The sequence below is a fragment of the Homo sapiens genome, chromosome 10 (genome assembly GCF_000001405.40).
Source record: "Homo sapiens chromosome 10, GRCh38.p14 Primary Assembly".
Classification (NCBI taxonomy): Eukaryota; Metazoa; Chordata; class Mammalia; order Primates; family Hominidae; genus Homo; species Homo sapiens.
This window is the reverse complement of record NC_000010.11, coordinates 61,773,935-61,790,905: the sequence shown is the minus strand read 5'-3', so window position 1 is coordinate 61,790,905 and position 16,971 is coordinate 61,773,935. Positions and strand designations below refer to the sequence as shown.

The window sequence follows — 16,971 nt, the reverse complement described above, 5'->3', positions numbered from 1 at the left end:
TAGAAGTTCAGTCCTCGCTATTTGCCAAAATCTATTTCTGGAAACTAGATCATTGAATGCATCAGAGTATAATGGATAATATATTCCCATTCAAACAGTGTTATATTTGGGAATTGTGTTCCCAAACAAGGCCACAGCTTCACATAACTCAGAGGTGACCTTTCATTGTCCTGAAATCCAAGATACAAACTGCAAAGTCTTAAGATAATGAGATTAGGATCTAATTACTATTAAATTGCAAAAATGTAAAATGACAAGTTTAAAATGGAATTATATGTTCCATACCTATTGTTTATATAAGGGCCTGTATTATCCATGAACTATTCATATATCATTAAAAAATGTATTTGACTATCACAATTTAAACAAAAGGGCAAGGTACTAATTATAAAAAGTATCCTTACTTTAAAAGTAAATTAATATTACTTGTCTTCTTAGGATTTTGAAGGGTTTTTAGGAGGATAATTTAGATGGCTTAGATCTCTTTAAATGACCGCTGCGCTGGCCTTCTCTTTTACATTTCCCTACAGTAAGCACCGGTATGCTAGTCTATTGTGGAACCAACTGTGCTAGAAAATATGTGTTTGTAATGATGGCAATGATAGTAATTTAGTGGTGTTATATTCTCTGAATCTGGTAAAGACATGGAGGAGTAATATTCAAGTCATCATCTATATAATAGAGTAAAATTTCATTTAAAAAGGCATAAAATTATCCATGAGGTGAAACCCATTTTTGCCGTGAACCACATTTATTATTAAGGGTAAAATCTGCTTCTCTTCTTCAGGAGGCTGAAGTAGGCAGTTTAGCACTCACTTCCATGTGGCATATTAAGCAAGGATATTTTGCACTTTCTTCTCATTGTAAACATTCTTTATTTGCTCTTTTCCTGTGATGTCCTAATAATAAGATTTGACTTTAGGCACATGGGCAGGGTGAGGACCTAAAAGTCCTGAGCTAAGGCATAGGCTCCAGCTAACTCTATCAGAGAGCTCTACCTAAAGGCCTGGGACACAAACACAGCTGACAATGACGTATTATTTGCCTTCTTTTTGTCAGGATTTCTTTTGCATATGACTTCCCAAGAAATTTCCTAGGAACCTAGGTCCCTGGGTCTCCAGGACACCATCATTTCCATTCCATCAGTACTTTATAGGATTCCTACTAGAAACAAAAAAGAAAAAAAGTTTTCTGCTTAGCCCCAGTTAACCTGAAAATTCAATTAAACAGCATCCTCCAAACACTACAGTTCATTGACGATTAACTATGCACGTTCTTGGAAAGGCCAAACTAGATGAAACTGACATTTTGAGAACTGTATTTTGCACTGAAATAGAAATTGAAGTAGGAATATGTTTTTCCTTGCTTGTTTTGATAGCATTTTACTGATGGGAAGTTTGGGGAGGCCTGAGGGGGCAAATATTGAGCTTTTGATTTATTATCAGTGAACATTTGCTCCAAATTGTACCCCATTGCTTCATTTACAAGTGATGTTTATCTTTTTGCTTTGGAATTTTATTGGTGCTTTCTCTCTTGCTTCCCTAGAAGATCGTTGGATATATAAGGGCTACAGTCACTGAGGTTAGTGTTGTGTTCTGCATTGGAGGAATTTTCTTGACTTTATCCCAGAATTAGTGGATCCATTCTACTTGGTGACACACTCCTGCCAGAGCAACTGGCAGATGGTCTAGTGTGGAGGATTGCATTGGAATGGGGAAGATGCTGGTAGGAGAGTGAGTCCCATTTATTTAAAGCCATAATCCTCCATTTTTCTCCTGATATTAAGCATTCCTGCTTCATAACTTTGTTCCACCACTCTAATTAGGCAGGCAGCCTTCCTCTGCCATTTTATTTTTTTATTTTATTTTATTTTTGAGACAGGGTCTCATTCTGTCATCCAGGCTGGAGTACAGTGGTGCAATCTGGGCTCACTGCAGCCTCAGCCTCCTGTGCTGGAGTGTTCCTCCTGTCTCAGTCACCCAAGAAGCAGGGACTACAGGCGTGTGCCACCACGCCCAGCTAACTTTTGTCTTTTTTGTAAAGACAAGGTTTCTCTGTGTTGCCCAGGCTGCTCTTGAACTCCTGAGCTCAAGTGATTTGCCTGTCTCAGCCTCCCAAAGTGCTGGGATTATAGGTGCGAACCATCACATCTGGCCCTCCTCTGCCATTTTATATTTCCACTTGGTTGTACTTCATTTTCAAATTCAACATTTTTATTCCTGACACAGAAAACTTTGCCTAAACTACTCTTGGGTGAATGTCTGGGGGCGTTATTCCATAAGTCTACAGCTTGATTCAATCTCCTGCTGAAATTATAAACGGGAAACAGCAGAGTCAATGAAAGGTGACAAGTGGTGCTAACTGAGTGACAAAGGTAATCTCATTCCACTAGAGTTTTTCAAACCAGTGATAGACTAGACACAGAGCACATGCCCTGTAAGATGTGTGTGGTGCTGTTTTGTCTTTGGATTGTATTACTGTGCCTTGAATGACATTAGTTCTTTTATATCTTACGTTCCTCTCAGAACATTATTCTTAGAACATGCTACCTTATGTTCTAGGCCCGGAAGTGTAAGAAACCTATGAATAACATATTTCTGAGTGTCTAGAAATCCAGATATTGTTTTTTGTTTGTTTGTTTGTTTGTTTTAAAGTGTTCTTGATGGAAGGAAAAGGAAGCCTCCATTTGCTTCTAAGGAAATAATAATTTCTTTCCTCCAATGTCTCTTGGATAGCTAATGGCTCTAGAGACAGGCACGGACATGTCTATGGATATAGTCATATGAGCTCAGAATTTTACCTTTGATTTGCTGGGAATCTTTTCTTTAGAGCCCTTTCATGGACATTAATTATCAATTTTTATTTTTAAGCTGTGGATAGTTTACTCACCCTTGAGAGAAACTTTCTTATGTAAAAGTTGTTTTCCACGGTCCCAAGATGGAAAACGACAACTCTTTAATCAAAAGGCTCTGAGGTATTGGTGCCATCTTTGTCTCTGGTTCCCAAAGAATGTTCTTGGAATGCTGACACCATAAGGAAAGTGTGGGGCAGCAGGCCTTAAGGGAGATTGTTAAAGCAAGACCGACATCTTCTGTGCATAGCCAATGCCTGCTTTTTCTCCACCATCTTCTTCCAAGTGGTTATCATTCCTCCTCCATGGAGATCCTGCTTTTGCTGCCCTTTCCAGCCTTTAGCTGATACAGGGAGTATGGAAAACGTAGTGTTCCTTTAATGGTTTATAAAATCAGACCTTCTTAGGAGGTCACACCGAGGGGAATGTTGCTAAAAACAACTGGCTCTTTGGCAATGCTAATCTGCATTTTCCTAAAACACATATCCAAGAGGGAAAAAGTGCATGTGTTAAGATGAAGATGGAGAATGAAGTTATCGATCTTCTTAAAGTTCATAATGTTGGAAGGGTCATGAGAGAAACACACTCTCAAACTGAGTAATAATCTACAAAGAGTTAAAACAAAAGTTCCTCCAGCCATAGCTGCACCAAGAGAAGTGGGACAGAAGTTCTGATTGAGAACTTTGATTTGCCACAGATTGTTTGAGTCTTACATGAAATTTGGAAAGGTTCCCTGACATCAAAGGCTGTTTCTTTTGGCTAATCTATTGAGTATGTTGTACCTGTCCTCCCATGAGCCCCCCCACGACTGGGAACATATGTCAGATTCTTCTTGTGCCAGTAATTTAGAGGCTCGTGACAAGAAAATATCCTTTTTCTAAGAAAAAAAGAGAGGGTGGTCCTGGGGAATGTTAATGCAGCAGAGAATAGCAATGATTTACTCCTCCCTGAAAAAAATATGCCAAGTCTGATAGACCCATATCTGAATATTATCTGCATAATTTGAAAATAACACATAGAAGGAAATAGGCCCAATCTCAGTATCCTGTTCACATTTACATCTGGAACAGCTGCCAGGGCCTCTCAGAGTTGATTTTGTTCAGTTCTGCAGGGCCGATCTGAAACCCAGGCAGAAAATGAAAGTGAGCAAATTTACCTCTGGCATTCAAAGAAATGCTTTTGGTCAAAGTGAGTATTTCTGACCATGACTCATTTTCAAAAGAAGCATTGAATTCGCTTTGTCATCTTTGCCTGGATCGGGCTCAATCAGCCCTTTTATGATTTTTAAAATATCCTATATAGGCGGGATGGCATTTATTAGGCTTCAGTTATTCAATATTGCATTTCAATGTATAAAAGTCACTGTTCAATTGAATATTGAGTTTTCTGAGGAAGTAAACCTACAGAAAAGAAATTTGCAAGAATCTAAAATAAATGAGTTTGAGAAAGATCAAACTGCCCTATGGCTGTTTCAAAGATCAAAAGATCTCTCTTTTATAGAAATCAGGAGCAGTTTGAATAGCCTCTTTCCTCTATCGCAAAGCCCCATTTTTTCACTATCATTGATAGCTTGGGACTGCACCATAATGGTATGAAAGGCCCTGGGGAGGAGGGAAGACGATTTTATTCCCAAAAAGGACGCAGGACTTTTTCGTCTGAAATAGCTGGCTTTTAATTTAATTTGATCTGGAGCCCAGTAGAGTGAGCAAATGAAAACCTGTCCTTAGCTCCTTCAGGAGGAGCAGTGGCCTTGAGGGGCATGAGAGGGTCTCCTGATAATTGTTTTTAAAGGCTGCCGTGTATCTTTGTTTCTGCTTCTAGGAGAGGCTGGATTATATGGTAGATCGCTATCTTTGAGTTTATGTGTTATGCATAACCTTAGGAAGTTACTTAATCTTTGTAGATCTCAGCTACTTCATGTGTAAAATGGGGATAATAATATGTACCTTATTCTTGGAGTAAGCTCCTTCCAACTCAGGGCCTTTGCTGGTGCTGTTCCTTCCACTGGACTAATTCATGCTTGGCCCCAGAACCCAGCTGGAACAGCTTTTTTCTGGGAGGGCTTCCATGGACCCTCAGACCAAGTCATGCTAACTCCTCCTCCTCCTCCATTAGACCATGTGCTATGATTTTCCTTGTAGTACTTGCCTCAGTTATAATTGAAAACGTTTTGTGTAAGTACTGATGTCATGTCTGGCTCCCTCTATAAGGGATTAGGAAACCTAACTTATTCATCTGTCTCATAAACTAGAACAAAAACAAAATATTTATTGTATGAATGAAATCAACAAAGTCTACTAGCAAACGATAAGTGATTAAGAAATGGCAATTTCCCTTGTTCCCCTACACTGTGAGATCCTGGAAGCCAGGACAAGCCTTACCTCTTTACCAGAAGCACCTAGGGTGGGGTCTTGACAAAGTAGCTGATTCAGGAACATCTGTGGATGTGCACGTGGACATTGTCAATCATCTCTGTCTACCTATTTGCCTTCTTCCTCAGCCTGTTCTCTGTCTTCTATCTAAAAGTGCACTATCAATTTTCAGAGAGATGCTAGAACCCTTGTTCATTTTCTTATATGGCAACTTTTCTCTGTATAGTTTCATGAAACCTCCATACATGAAGTTTGCAGTGAGAGGCAAAAAACTGAGTCGTGATCATGGTGTTTTTAGCCCCAGTTAGAGGGTTAGGTGAGTTGAAGTTGTCAGCCCAGGGAACTTTACAAGTGAGGACAGCTTTTAAACATCACTGCCGACATTATCATCATCAGCAACAACTAATAACAACTTCTTTAAATTTAAAAAAACCTTTGCCTTCTTGCCTAGGAAAAAAAATCTCCATCAACATCATAGACCATTCATGGTTGTCTACCATTAGAATCTTTTGCTTTGATTAAGGCCATTATTCATAAGAAGTTGCTATATTAGTCACTGACTATTTATTGTGAATTAGTTTATCAACCGTTTCATCTGAGAAGATGAAGGGCCAAGTATTAAGTCACTTGATTGCCTATGTGGGAAGGAAGTATTTCTGTCAGAGTTTAGTTGTACATAACATAATTCAGTATAGTCATTTTTAGCAGAAATGAGTTTCATACAAGGAATAAGAGCTTACAAAGATCACTAGAAAGGCTAGAGTTCTTTAAGCAGAGCTTCCAGGAATCACACCTCAGAACAACACCTCAGGGCTGGCCCACGGAGGCAGTTGCTGCCTCTGCCATGATCAAGTTTGTGAATAAGGAGGTCGCCTCTACAACTGCTGGCTCTGCACCTCACCACGTCTATCCAACCTGCACTTGCCTCTCAATAGCCACAGTGATAGGATCTGGACCCTGGGGGCTCTGTTATAGTTCCCACATGTCTCCACACTGTGCTGGTTAGCAGAAGTAGTGGGGTGCAGCCTCAGCCTTGATGTCTGCTTCTATAGTCCAGCTCTCATGAGGGAGCGTGTTTGGCTCACGCTGGGTTTCACATGGAACCTAAGCAGCAGGGGACTCTGGGAAATGAGGTCTTTAGCTTTTCTGACTCTTGAGGGCCATACAGTAGCTATAAGGAGGGATCTTGCAATGGAGTGAAGTAGTCTGCAGATCTTATCGCAGGGGTTACATAGTGGGCGGGGTGGGGGAGGGGCGTGGGGGCAGGGGAACATTTTTGAGAGAGACATAAATGGAGAGGGGGCTGAAAAGAATCTTGACTGGCCTCACAACTTTGCCTAGAGCTTGTCCTGGTTATTAAAATGAGGCATTTTGGGAATGCCACATCAGGGAGACATTATTGTTTTCCTTGGGTAAGTGGTTTTGAGGTCTGTATGTAAAGTTTCTTGCGTAAATAGGCTCCTTCTTCTATGCTCCTGACATTTATGGTGGGGTGTTTTAGTTTCCTTCTTAGCAGAGACGGAAAAGTGTTCCTATGCCCTGTTCAGACACATCTACTACTGGGTAATCTTTCTTCATGCTAGTGTCTATCTTTAAAAACGTCCCCATGACATCGAGTGAAGAGAGAAGCTTTAGATGCTATCCAGGAATGTCTGACACTTTTATCTACTGGGTAAATTGCTATTTCCCTGATGAAGAGACCCAAATGAGGGCTGGAACTCAGTTATTTTGGATGGATCATGGGAGCCCCTCTGGGTTTTGGAAGCAGGCAGTCAGTGGCGCTATCCTGCCATCTTCTTTTTAACATTCCATCTAGCAAACACCTTAAGCTTTAATAAACATCTTCTCCTTTAATAGTGTTGACTCCAAGCTAATAAGGCAACTAGCAAATCCAGTGAAGGTAAATTTCTCATTAACAATTTATTTAACTTTGTTGAAGAGAGCAATTCCAACTTCTGCTAATTGAGTTTGTAATAAAAACATGGATCCATTTTACTGCCACCCTCAGGACCTTAATCAAACTCCAGGAAAGGTAAAGTCACTCTCATTAGCAGACTAAGAGGCAAAATCCAGGATGGAATGGAAGGTATCAGAACTCTGTTAAATTCCAGAAACTTCAACAGGATTATAAAGCAGCGGCACAGACTGGCATTTCACAGTGTTTTGAATTTTATTTGCCAGAGGAAGAGCCCTTTTGACATGAAGCTAAAGCTGTGTGTAAGACTTTGAAGATACTGGCTTTAGTATGTGGGTGATGTGTTCAGTTTCTCCCCCTTTATTTAAGATCTCTCTGTGGAATATGGGAAAGTCTGCTGGCTAGACCTGTAAGAGGACTTGCCCTTTTTTCAGTCAATCCAAAGCCTTTTTCTGTGGCTCCAGGAGGTGGCTGTAATTTAGGAGTTTTATAAGGAAACACTGAGGAAGACCGCCTAAAGTGACGGCCCTGTGGGCAGAGGGACATGTGGCATGTCTGTGATCGGCCAGCGATTGAATTTGAAGGGATTTAATAATTCTTCATGAAATTCTCTTCTTTTTCTTCAGACTTTCCTCTGGAAGGCTGATTAAATGCGTATTATTTCTTCTTAAGTGATTTTACAGGTCGTTTATTTTGGATTTATGAGCATCAACACGTTTTAAAAGGTATTAGCAAGCTGTACTGCTTTATACTTGTTCTGTAAATCAGTGCCTCTACTCTCTATCAGCATCAGATAATAAGAAATCCTTCAAATTATTACTTTTTTTTCTTCTTATATATTCATTCAGGCAACAAATATTTTAAAACACCTACTGGGTGCCAGACATTGTGCTAGGTTCTAGAAATACTCCAGTGAACAAGATAGACATGGCCCTTGCTCTCAGTACATTGTAAAAAAATTTTTAAGTTTGGTGTCCATATTATTGTGAAATTATAGGGAATGAATTTGAGTTAAAGTTCTGTTCCCATTCAGCACTCTTCGTCTACTGAGTCAACATCTATATGGAGAGGCATGAGCAGAAGATGGTTCCTCTGTGTTTTTGACATATGCTAGTATGTGGTTCCATTTAAGATAGGAATAAAAGATGAGTGGGGGGAAAACTTCCCCTTCTCCCCATCACCTTTTCCCAAGGTACCTGTTCCGTAGAGTTTGAAATTGTTCAATTGGTCCAAGTTTTTGCCCCAAAAGAGAAAATGCCCGAAGTGCTGGTAGAAGTCCTTAAACAGCCTATTTTTGGGGGAGACATCTCAGTTCCTACATCTGCATATAAAACTTTCTGTTTGTCTGTGTCCCATTCACAGGGCTGAAGTATAAGGTGCTGGGACCAGTTGTCAGTAAAGGCAGTATGATTCAATGAATCAATTAAATCAGGATGGAGAAGGGAAGCAAAAAGTCCAAGCCAGATAAGTGGAACTACCCATGAAACTGGAGGGTGTGGTGAACAAAAGCAAAATGATTAGTCACAAGGTCAGGAGCAAGGTGAGTCAAGGGGAGTGGTTCAGAAAGTAGACTGTGAGGAACCTTGGGAAGTGGTGAATGGGGGTGGCTGTGTTTTATCTCAAGCCCCACTTCTTAGTGTAATGGGTATGGGGCTGTCAGCTGAACAGCTCTTATTAGGCCACATGCATGGAGCCCACTGGAGGCAGTTGGCTGTGCAGCAGCTGGAAGTCTCCCCTAGGACAACTTGTTCATTTCACCCACAGCATTGGGAAACCTGGATGAAGAAGAAGGTGGGAGAAGACAAGGAGGCTACCATTTTCTCTGCAGGAAATGGTGGTTAGCTCAAAGCAGAGGAGAATTCAGCAGTGTAGATGAAGCTTGAGTCTTTACAAAGTACTTTCCCATCCTTTTCTTTTGTCCTTCTCAGTGGCCCCAGGATGAAGAAAGGTAGCTAGATGGAGGATGGTTCTCCTCATTCCGCAGATGATGAACTTGAAACCAGTGACAGTGAGTGAGTTTCAGGTCACATAACTATGTAGGGCCAGGGCTTGATTGTAAATCTCATTCTAGCTGTAACTCTTTCCATTACAATTTACTAGTATTCAAACGATATGTAAAAAATAAGCAAATAATGAAACACAGCATTTTGCAAGACATAAGGGTAAGATTGTAACCACGTCTCTGCAATTCTCGTGGAGACTTTGGTATTTGCCCTTGGCCACCTCCTTTCCTACCCTTCTGGCCCTGATTGGGCACTGGTGAAAAGGTGTCTGTGAGCATCTACCACACTTGCCTCCCCCATTACACAGACTGGCATTCTCTCTATGGCCACAGTCCTCAGGGTAATTAAGGTTGTGGAGTAACAGGAAATATTTTATTCAGTAAGATTGTACTCATTTGCTTATTCAGTTGCTGAACTATCTTCCAGGAATACATCAGAAGGTTTTACCATTCTATTTGCCTGCCTTAGTTGGGAGATCTGAAGGAAATGAGTTTAATTCACCCTTCACATTTCTAATTAAAACTTTTTACATTTCAAGCTTTTTGACAGGAAAAAAAAAAGAAAAATTCTGTGGAAGGCAGCTTCGAGAAGACATAATCCATGTGTGATTGTTTGAGAGCAAGAAGGGTTAAAAAAGGCAACAACAAAAAACCTGCTCATTTTTGCTGCTTGCTTAAGAAAAAAACAACTCAAGCCATCTCCAAATGTAGTTTAATCCATTTTCAGACTTTATACATTATGCATCAAGATTTTGTACAAAAGGAATTTGAGAGGAGTGTTTGCATGAAACCACTTCAGTGGATTAAATTTGCAGTTCAGCACATTAGACTCAAAAAGTATACAAGACATTTTGAGAGTCCCTGACTCCTTCCTTTATATGCATAGTTCCTACTTCAGGTAAATAAGTTTTTAAGAATGAGTGGATTCCAGCAGCTGTCTTTAAGGGAAAAATTAAGAAAGGATTTGGTCTACCTTCCACTTAGCTTCACAATGATTGCAAATGTTTGAAGAACAGAAAGCCTAGTTGAGAAGGTGGATCTAAGCTGTTCTATGGACCTCGAGATTCTTTTAGGCAAAGCTGCCCTATCCAAGGTGGAAAAGCTAATGTGAAAAGACATTCTCAATAGAAGGAGTTCACACAGCGATGTCATAACTGCAAACCCCACCCACCTTCAGTTCAGAGTTGAGATGCCACTTGCGTAGGCCACCCAGATGGTAAGCTCAGACAGTCATCCAGATGTCTTTATCTAGTGGAGGCCAAACATCACTGAGACCACATCTGGATGTTTAGTGGGCCAACGACATTTTTATTTCCTGCTGTTTAAATAATAGATTTGGGGGATCTTGGAAACGTAGTCTTTATTTCCTCTTACCCCAGAGTTGCTCTGCTGCAGGAACACACTTTATGACAATCGGGTCAAATCAGAAGCAGCCAGAGAGCCACCCGTTTCTGGGCTGTTAATGATGGGAGGTCCTAAACTGACAGGCGGAGTCTGACGTCTAAACATCATGACTGTTATAAACCAGGAGGTGTCCAAACAACCTATGGAGCACCTGAAAGTTTCTATAATAACTTGTATTTTTTTTTTTCAAGTGTTGAAAACTTCCTAGCAGTGTGGCTGGTTGCCTGGGCTACAGTGTTGTGTTGACAGCTCTGGTCCTTTTCCTGGCAGCCGAGGATCTGCACAGTGACCAATGAGAGGGGAGCATTCTGCTCTGAACTTTCCATTAGGCTGATGATTCACTTTGAAATCCACACTTTATGAATGCTGTGAATTCAATGTAATGTAGCTGTTGAGGTGTCTACATTCAAATTTGATTCCATTAACTTTACGGTGTGATTAAGTGTCTGAATCATCAGGACTTGGGATTGAATTTATGTGCCTTCTGCGAGCCCTTTTGTAGACTGGTAGTTTTGATGAGTGTAATTTGATGTATGGGATTGGGAGAAGAAACCTAAAAAGATATCACCTCAAATATAACAAGGATCTGAGAACCCAAATTTGAGCGTTGAGGTGGGTGGTCACTCTCAGATGTGCAGAGTGGAGCTACTCTTCAGCATGCACACTTTTTTCTTTAAAGAACTTGATTTTTGGTGTTAGAAGGGACTTAGAGGTCCCTTCTAAGGGACCTCTAAATTTGGCTTTCAAATTTTAAAGTACTTAACTATTAATTAGGGTGCTTCTTAAAAAAAAAACGCCGATTTCAGATCGTGCCTTCTGATTCTGAAGGGCTGGAATGGGATGCAGGAATGGAATTATAGACCTCCCTGGGAGAAATGCTGACTTAGTTGTTTTGCATTTGGGAGAGTGATGGGCCTCATCCATGGCCTTCCTCACAGCTAGTGGTAAGAGAGTCAAGCCCAGAACTGGATCTCTATATGTTTCCTCAGGGGTCATTCATCACGTACTTAGTTCATGCTCATGCGAATTGACATTTATGACATGGAAATTATCGGTAGTAAGAAAGTGAAAAGAACATGGAGTGGCAGAGAGTGTGGCATATTGCAGTTTAGCAAAAATGAGTTCTGAAATCTCATTTGAAAATTTTAAGTTCTCCTTAACACATAGGGGTTAAATGGGAGATGCACAATGCTTCACATATTTGAGTCAATTTTAGGCAGTTGCTAAGATAGCAGTGTACAAAATATTTTTACTTTTGCATTTCCCTTTATAGATTTCTTTGGACTTAAATACACTGAAATTTTAATTTAAATTCTCCATGTATTTAAATTCTCCATGTATTTAAATTCCAGAATTGATGAAATTAAACACTTTTTCATTATTGCTGACAATTTGTACTTATTCTTTAATTCTTTGTGAATCATTTTTCAGATCCTTTGTGAACTTCTCTACTGAGTTGCTGGCTTTTTTTTTCTGGTATTGTTTTTAAATAGATGTTTTTTATTAAAGTTATTAACTCCATGTCTGTCATACAATTCCCTGAAAGTGTTTTTCTGTTTTTTGTTTTATGTTTATTTATGGTTACTTTTCTTTTATATGGAGCAGTTTAAAATTTTTCTACAGAAACATTAAAATCCTTTTTTCTGTTCTCTGTGATGATGTTTCATCAGTTTTATTTGTTAAAGCTCTCCCTATTACAAGATCAGGAAAATAATTACTTATACTTTTTTATAGCTATTTTGTAGTTCTAATATTTACTGCTTTCACTTGTTGGTATGCTTTATAAAATATAACATACAAAATATAAATATATAACATATAAACATTATTCCTCAAATAGTTGTCCTAGCATCATTTCCTGTATATTACTTTCTAATTGGTTTGTAAAATACATGATAACTACCATTTATTATATACTTAGGTACAGTGCTAAATATATTTAATGAATTGTTCATTTTAATGCATATATATTTTATTTGCTTCTTACAACAACATTCTAGCAGTTATTTTAAATCCCCTTTTACAGATGAGCAAACAGAGGCTTAGATAGCTCAAGTTGCTTATCTATTAAGAGGCAGAGCTGAGGGGTAACCTCAGGATAGAGTGACTCCAAAACCCACAGACTCAGTCACCCAAATCAGTTTTACCATAAAACAAATTCTTAGTGTTAAGGTCATTTTAGGGTTTTGTATTCTGTTTCATTAACTGGGTTTCTATTTTTTGCACTAATATCATACTTTTAAGTATTTTAGCTTTATAATGTTTTTAAAACTGAAAGTGTCACACCTTATTACTCTTCAGCTTTTCAAATATTGAGCTCTCACTGGTTCAATATTCATGTTCACCTCAGTCTAACATCAGCAAATACAAAAATACTTCCTGAGATTTTCAATGGAGTTACTTTTAAAACTTGACATCTTTCCTATATTTAAACTTTGCATCTAGCAAAATGTCCTTTAGAAGAGTTTTATAATTTTCTTCAAACAAGTCCTTTACCTCTAACTGCCACTTTAAGTATTCTGTATGTTTGTTACTCTTGTAAGAGATTTTTTTCCATTATATTTTCTAACCATTGTTAATTTATAGATAATCTATTTTTTTTTTGAGATGGAGTCTCACTTTGTTGCCCAGGCTGGAGTGCAATGGAGCGATCTCAGCTCACTGCAACCTCCATCCACTGGGTTCAAGTGATTCTCCTGCCTCGGCCTCCTGGGTAGCTGGAATTACGGGTGTGCGCCACCATGCCTGGCTAATTTTTGTATTTTGGGTAGAGACAGGGTTTTGCCATGTTGGCCAGGCTGGTTGCGAACTCCTGACCTCAAGCAATCTGCCCATCTTGGCCTCCCAAAGTGTTGGGATTACAGGCGTGAGCCACCGACCAAGCCCAGCCAGATAATCTGTGTTTTAATATTTATTTTCTCATTTGACTTCTTACTGAAATTTTTAGAATGATTTTCTCATGGTTTTTCATTGTAGATAGTTTTACAGTCTACAAACAATAATGATTTCGGCTTTGTGTTAATTATGCTTTTAAGTCCTACATGCTGTCTTAAGGCAGTGGTAGAAAAATCAAAATACTAGTGGTGAAAACAGCCAACCAACCAGCGTATCAGTCTGCCTTCTGCACTTTCTTTCACGAGAGATTTACAAAGTACCTATTCTGCACCAGACGCTGTGCTCAACCTTGGAGATAGAGCACCAAACCAGATAGAAACAGTTTCTGTCCTTCTAGAGCTACAGCCTGGGCTGGAGACAGACATTAAACATGGAATAATACAATTACTTCAAATCACAACCCTTATCTCATTCTTGATTTTAATGAGAATGCATCTGGTGTTTCAATTTTTAGTCAATTTGAGATATTCTTTAAGATGTGTTCTTCTAAGACTAGTTTTCTAGTTTTTTAAAATAAAGTCAGTATGTCTCTTGAGTTTTAGGAAAAGGTTTCTCAATGTTGCCTCCTTTCACCTGTTTTCAACTTCATGCATTGTATAAACAATAAACCTGAAGCTTAGTTGGGGAGATGTGACAGGCCCACCATCATGACATTTATTTCGACCGAATCGTTGCTGGAATCCATCTCTAGAATTTATCTCAGTACTGCAAGGGCAATGTGTCTATTTACCAGATGTCACGAACCTGTCAATGTATTTAACTTAGATTGGAGGCTTTTCCAGAACAAGAACTGTTTCTGGGATGCTCTTTGGGCTTCCCTGGGTCAAAATAGTACCTGCTGCATTCCAATGATTGCTACTGGAAAAGGAGAATCTCCATGCTTCCAGTGGGTTGATCTGGAGGCTGGCAAATGACACTGAAGGCTGGGATGCAGCATACAACCAGTCAGAAGCAGTGTTTAATTCTTCTTCTTCGTAAAAAAGTCAATATAGAATGTATGAAAAACACAGAAAGATTTTTTTAAAATCACCTGTAGTTTCACCACTAAGAGATAACCCTCCAATTTGTTTGAATTCTTTTTCTTTGCCTATCAATGTTCCCGCACAAACACAAGTCATACTAAATGATAGATTTCACCCTTTTATCAGTTGATAGTATATTATAAGCAATTTCCCAAATCTGTAATTGTCTTATTATTTTGTTTGTTTTGTTTCCTCCGTTTAGTGCTGTGCAGTGCTCTGGTGATTCATCTGTCTATTCATTTTGAAATAGTTCTAACAAATAAAGGAGCCTATGAGGACACCTTGAATAAAGACACTTAACTAAATCTGAAATAGCCACACTTGGTTGAATGAGTGATGACCATGTCATCAATATTTCAGCAGAAAGGAAATGGCAATAATAATTCAATATGAGGCCAGCACCCAAGAGCTGAATAGACTTGGTTTCAAAAATTTCTAGCTATTTTTCACAGACATGTTAGAATGCAGTAGCTTTTTCTATGACAATTATTTTTAAACCACACCCACACATAGAGATAATAATTAGCACCAGTAGCATAATCTTTGAAAAAGAAGAAAATTTCTATCTATTTGTCTGTCTATCTACCTATCTATTATCTATATCTAAATTTGGAAATGAAGAATGAAGTGAATGTTAGGTCATTCCAAGATATAAAATATTACAGAGGAAAGATCGCTTTGTGGAGTAGAAATGGCAATTACCTGCCCAATAGCTGTTCTTTTTTTTCTCTCTAACAGAATCCCAATTTTGTTCAAGTATTGGCTGACTGTGTTTTTCAGGGCCATCCTCTAGCCTTGGTTAGTAAATCTTAACTCACCTAAATCTATCATGACAATTCTACTTCACTTATCAATATCTGGTTTAGGGTTCACCATGCGACACAATTCTGGCCAAAGGGACACAGAAAATTATCTTGGCAGGCTTTAGGAAGTTTTTCTTGTTCTTAAGAAGATATATAAAAGAGGAAAAAAATGTTTCTTAAAAAAATTTTTTTTTGAGTATTTAGTCTTTTTGTGAGGATATTGCCGCCATTTTGGGACTATAAAGGAACAATACTGGGGACAAAAGCCAAGGTGCTGGTGAGGGCACCACAGATAAATGATCTGGGTCCTCCATGACGTCATGAAGGGTCTCTACATTTTTTTTTGTTGTTATTTTTTGAGCCATTTTGAGTTTAGCATTTTGCTTACTTGCAGCCAAGAACATGCCAACTGATTCAGGTTGCACCCATCACAAGTGAACAACTGGTGACTGAGCATGTTTGCAGGAGGGAAAAACAAAGTTCTGTTTCTCTTTCCAACTCTGTGTATGATCTGACTGTGCCTTTTATTTTAACCTATGGAACTGTCTACTATCTAAGCCAGATTAATACTTCAGAAATACATACTAGTGTTTAGAATTGGATATAGTTAATATCCATAGCAGCCAACACATCAATATTGGCTCTGCTAAGGGACTTAGCCATGTTCTTGCAGTAGGTATTTAGTAAATAATTTTTAGTGAATTAAAGACTATAACAGCTGAAGAAATGACCTTGGCCTAAGGGGAAAATTACTAGAAAATTAATAATTTTGGGTCTTGTTTTTTACATTTCTTATTAGAGAAATCCCAAGCCAATCATAGACATTTTAAAAATTACTAGCCTCACTTAAAGGAGAAAGTAGTTAAGGTGTGGACCCTGGTCGAAAATTCCTAAGCGTGCAATTCATCATACTTGTGAGGCTCAGTGAATTATTTCATAGAATGTCAGTTCAGGAGGGACTGTGGGCTTATATAAACTAAGAAGTAATTACCTTATATAATAAAACTATAAGCAGGTCCCTAGTTAATGAATTTGCTAGTTGCTTTTTCCAGTTTATAGACATTGACCCATATGAGACATATTATGTATGCTAAACGTAGAAAGACATATCGATTGAGTTAATTAGAACAGGCTAAGTTGTTGTAAAGAATGGACCTAAGAATGAAGTGGCTCTAAGAAGTGGAAGTTCATATTTATTGCTCATCAGACAGTCTGGATGTGTGCTCCAGGTTGGTGAGTTTCTCCTGTCAACGTGTTTATTCAGGAACCCAGGCTGATAAGTGCACTGTTACCTTCAAATTCTCATTGTCCTCACTGCTATGCAGCCAGCGGAAGAAGAGAGGAGAGAACATGGAGGAGGTGTTGCCTGGTCTTGAGCAAAGCCCTTAACATAGCCAATTTCACTTCTGCCCACATTCCACTGGGTAGAACTTCATCACATGGCCATACCTAACTGCAAAGGGATCTGGGAAATGGAGTCCAACCACATGGTTAGGGAGAATGGGAAAATGGATTTTGGTGGGCAGATTCTGACGCATATGTAGGGTAATAGAAAGAGCACTGGGTTGGAAAATATCCTAACTGGGGTGACCCCATCCTCCCAGGTCTCTTCTTCATTCTCCCTGCTGCAGCTAGAGTAATCTTTGCATAGTGCAAAATGCCTGTCCTTCACCAACCACCTCCAAGTTCTGCTTAAAATCTTTTAAT

At 39.0% G+C, this 16,971-nt stretch overlaps 1 long non-coding RNA gene across 8 annotated transcripts in view, besides 2 other annotated features; it reads left to right on the top strand.

Annotated features, from left to right (window-relative positions):
• Positions 1–12,200, top strand: part of LINC02625 (long intergenic non-protein coding RNA 2625) — an 89,240-nt gene extending 77,040 nt beyond the window's left edge. For 5 of the 8 annotated variants that reach the window (XR_001747458.2, XR_001747460.2, XR_001747459.2 and 2 more), the window contains exons 4-6: positions 8,501–8,678; positions 9,067–9,146; positions 9,680–12,200. This is a non-coding gene — a long non-coding RNA (long intergenic non-protein coding RNA 2625). The remainder of the gene's footprint in view (positions 1–8,500; positions 8,679–9,066; positions 9,147–9,679) is intronic. The other 3 variants (XR_001747461.2, XR_002957081.2, XR_002957080.2) reach the window with 1 other exon arrangement.
• Positions 8,319–9,518: an enhancer, noted in NCBI's record as "CDK7 strongly-dependent group 2 enhancer chr10:63541146-63542345 (GRCh37/hg19 assembly coordinates)". NCBI's record gives its function as "activates an origin of replication core promoter dependent on BRD2, BRD4, P300/CBP, MED14 and CDK7 cofactors, with strong dependence on CDK7, by STARR-seq in HCT116 cells {active_cell/tissue: HCT116}" and the evidence as "EXISTENCE:reporter gene assay evidence [ECO:0000049][PMID:35650434]".
• Positions 10,198–10,910: a transcriptional cis regulatory region, noted in NCBI's record as "candidate enhancer chr10.1925 targeted for multiplex CRISPR interference". NCBI's record gives its function as "positively regulates ARID5B gene expression with high confidence in K562 cells {active_cell/tissue: K562}" and the evidence as "EXISTENCE:mutant phenotype evidence [ECO:0000015][PMID:30612741]".
• Positions 12,201–16,971: the final 4,771 nt, after the last annotated feature.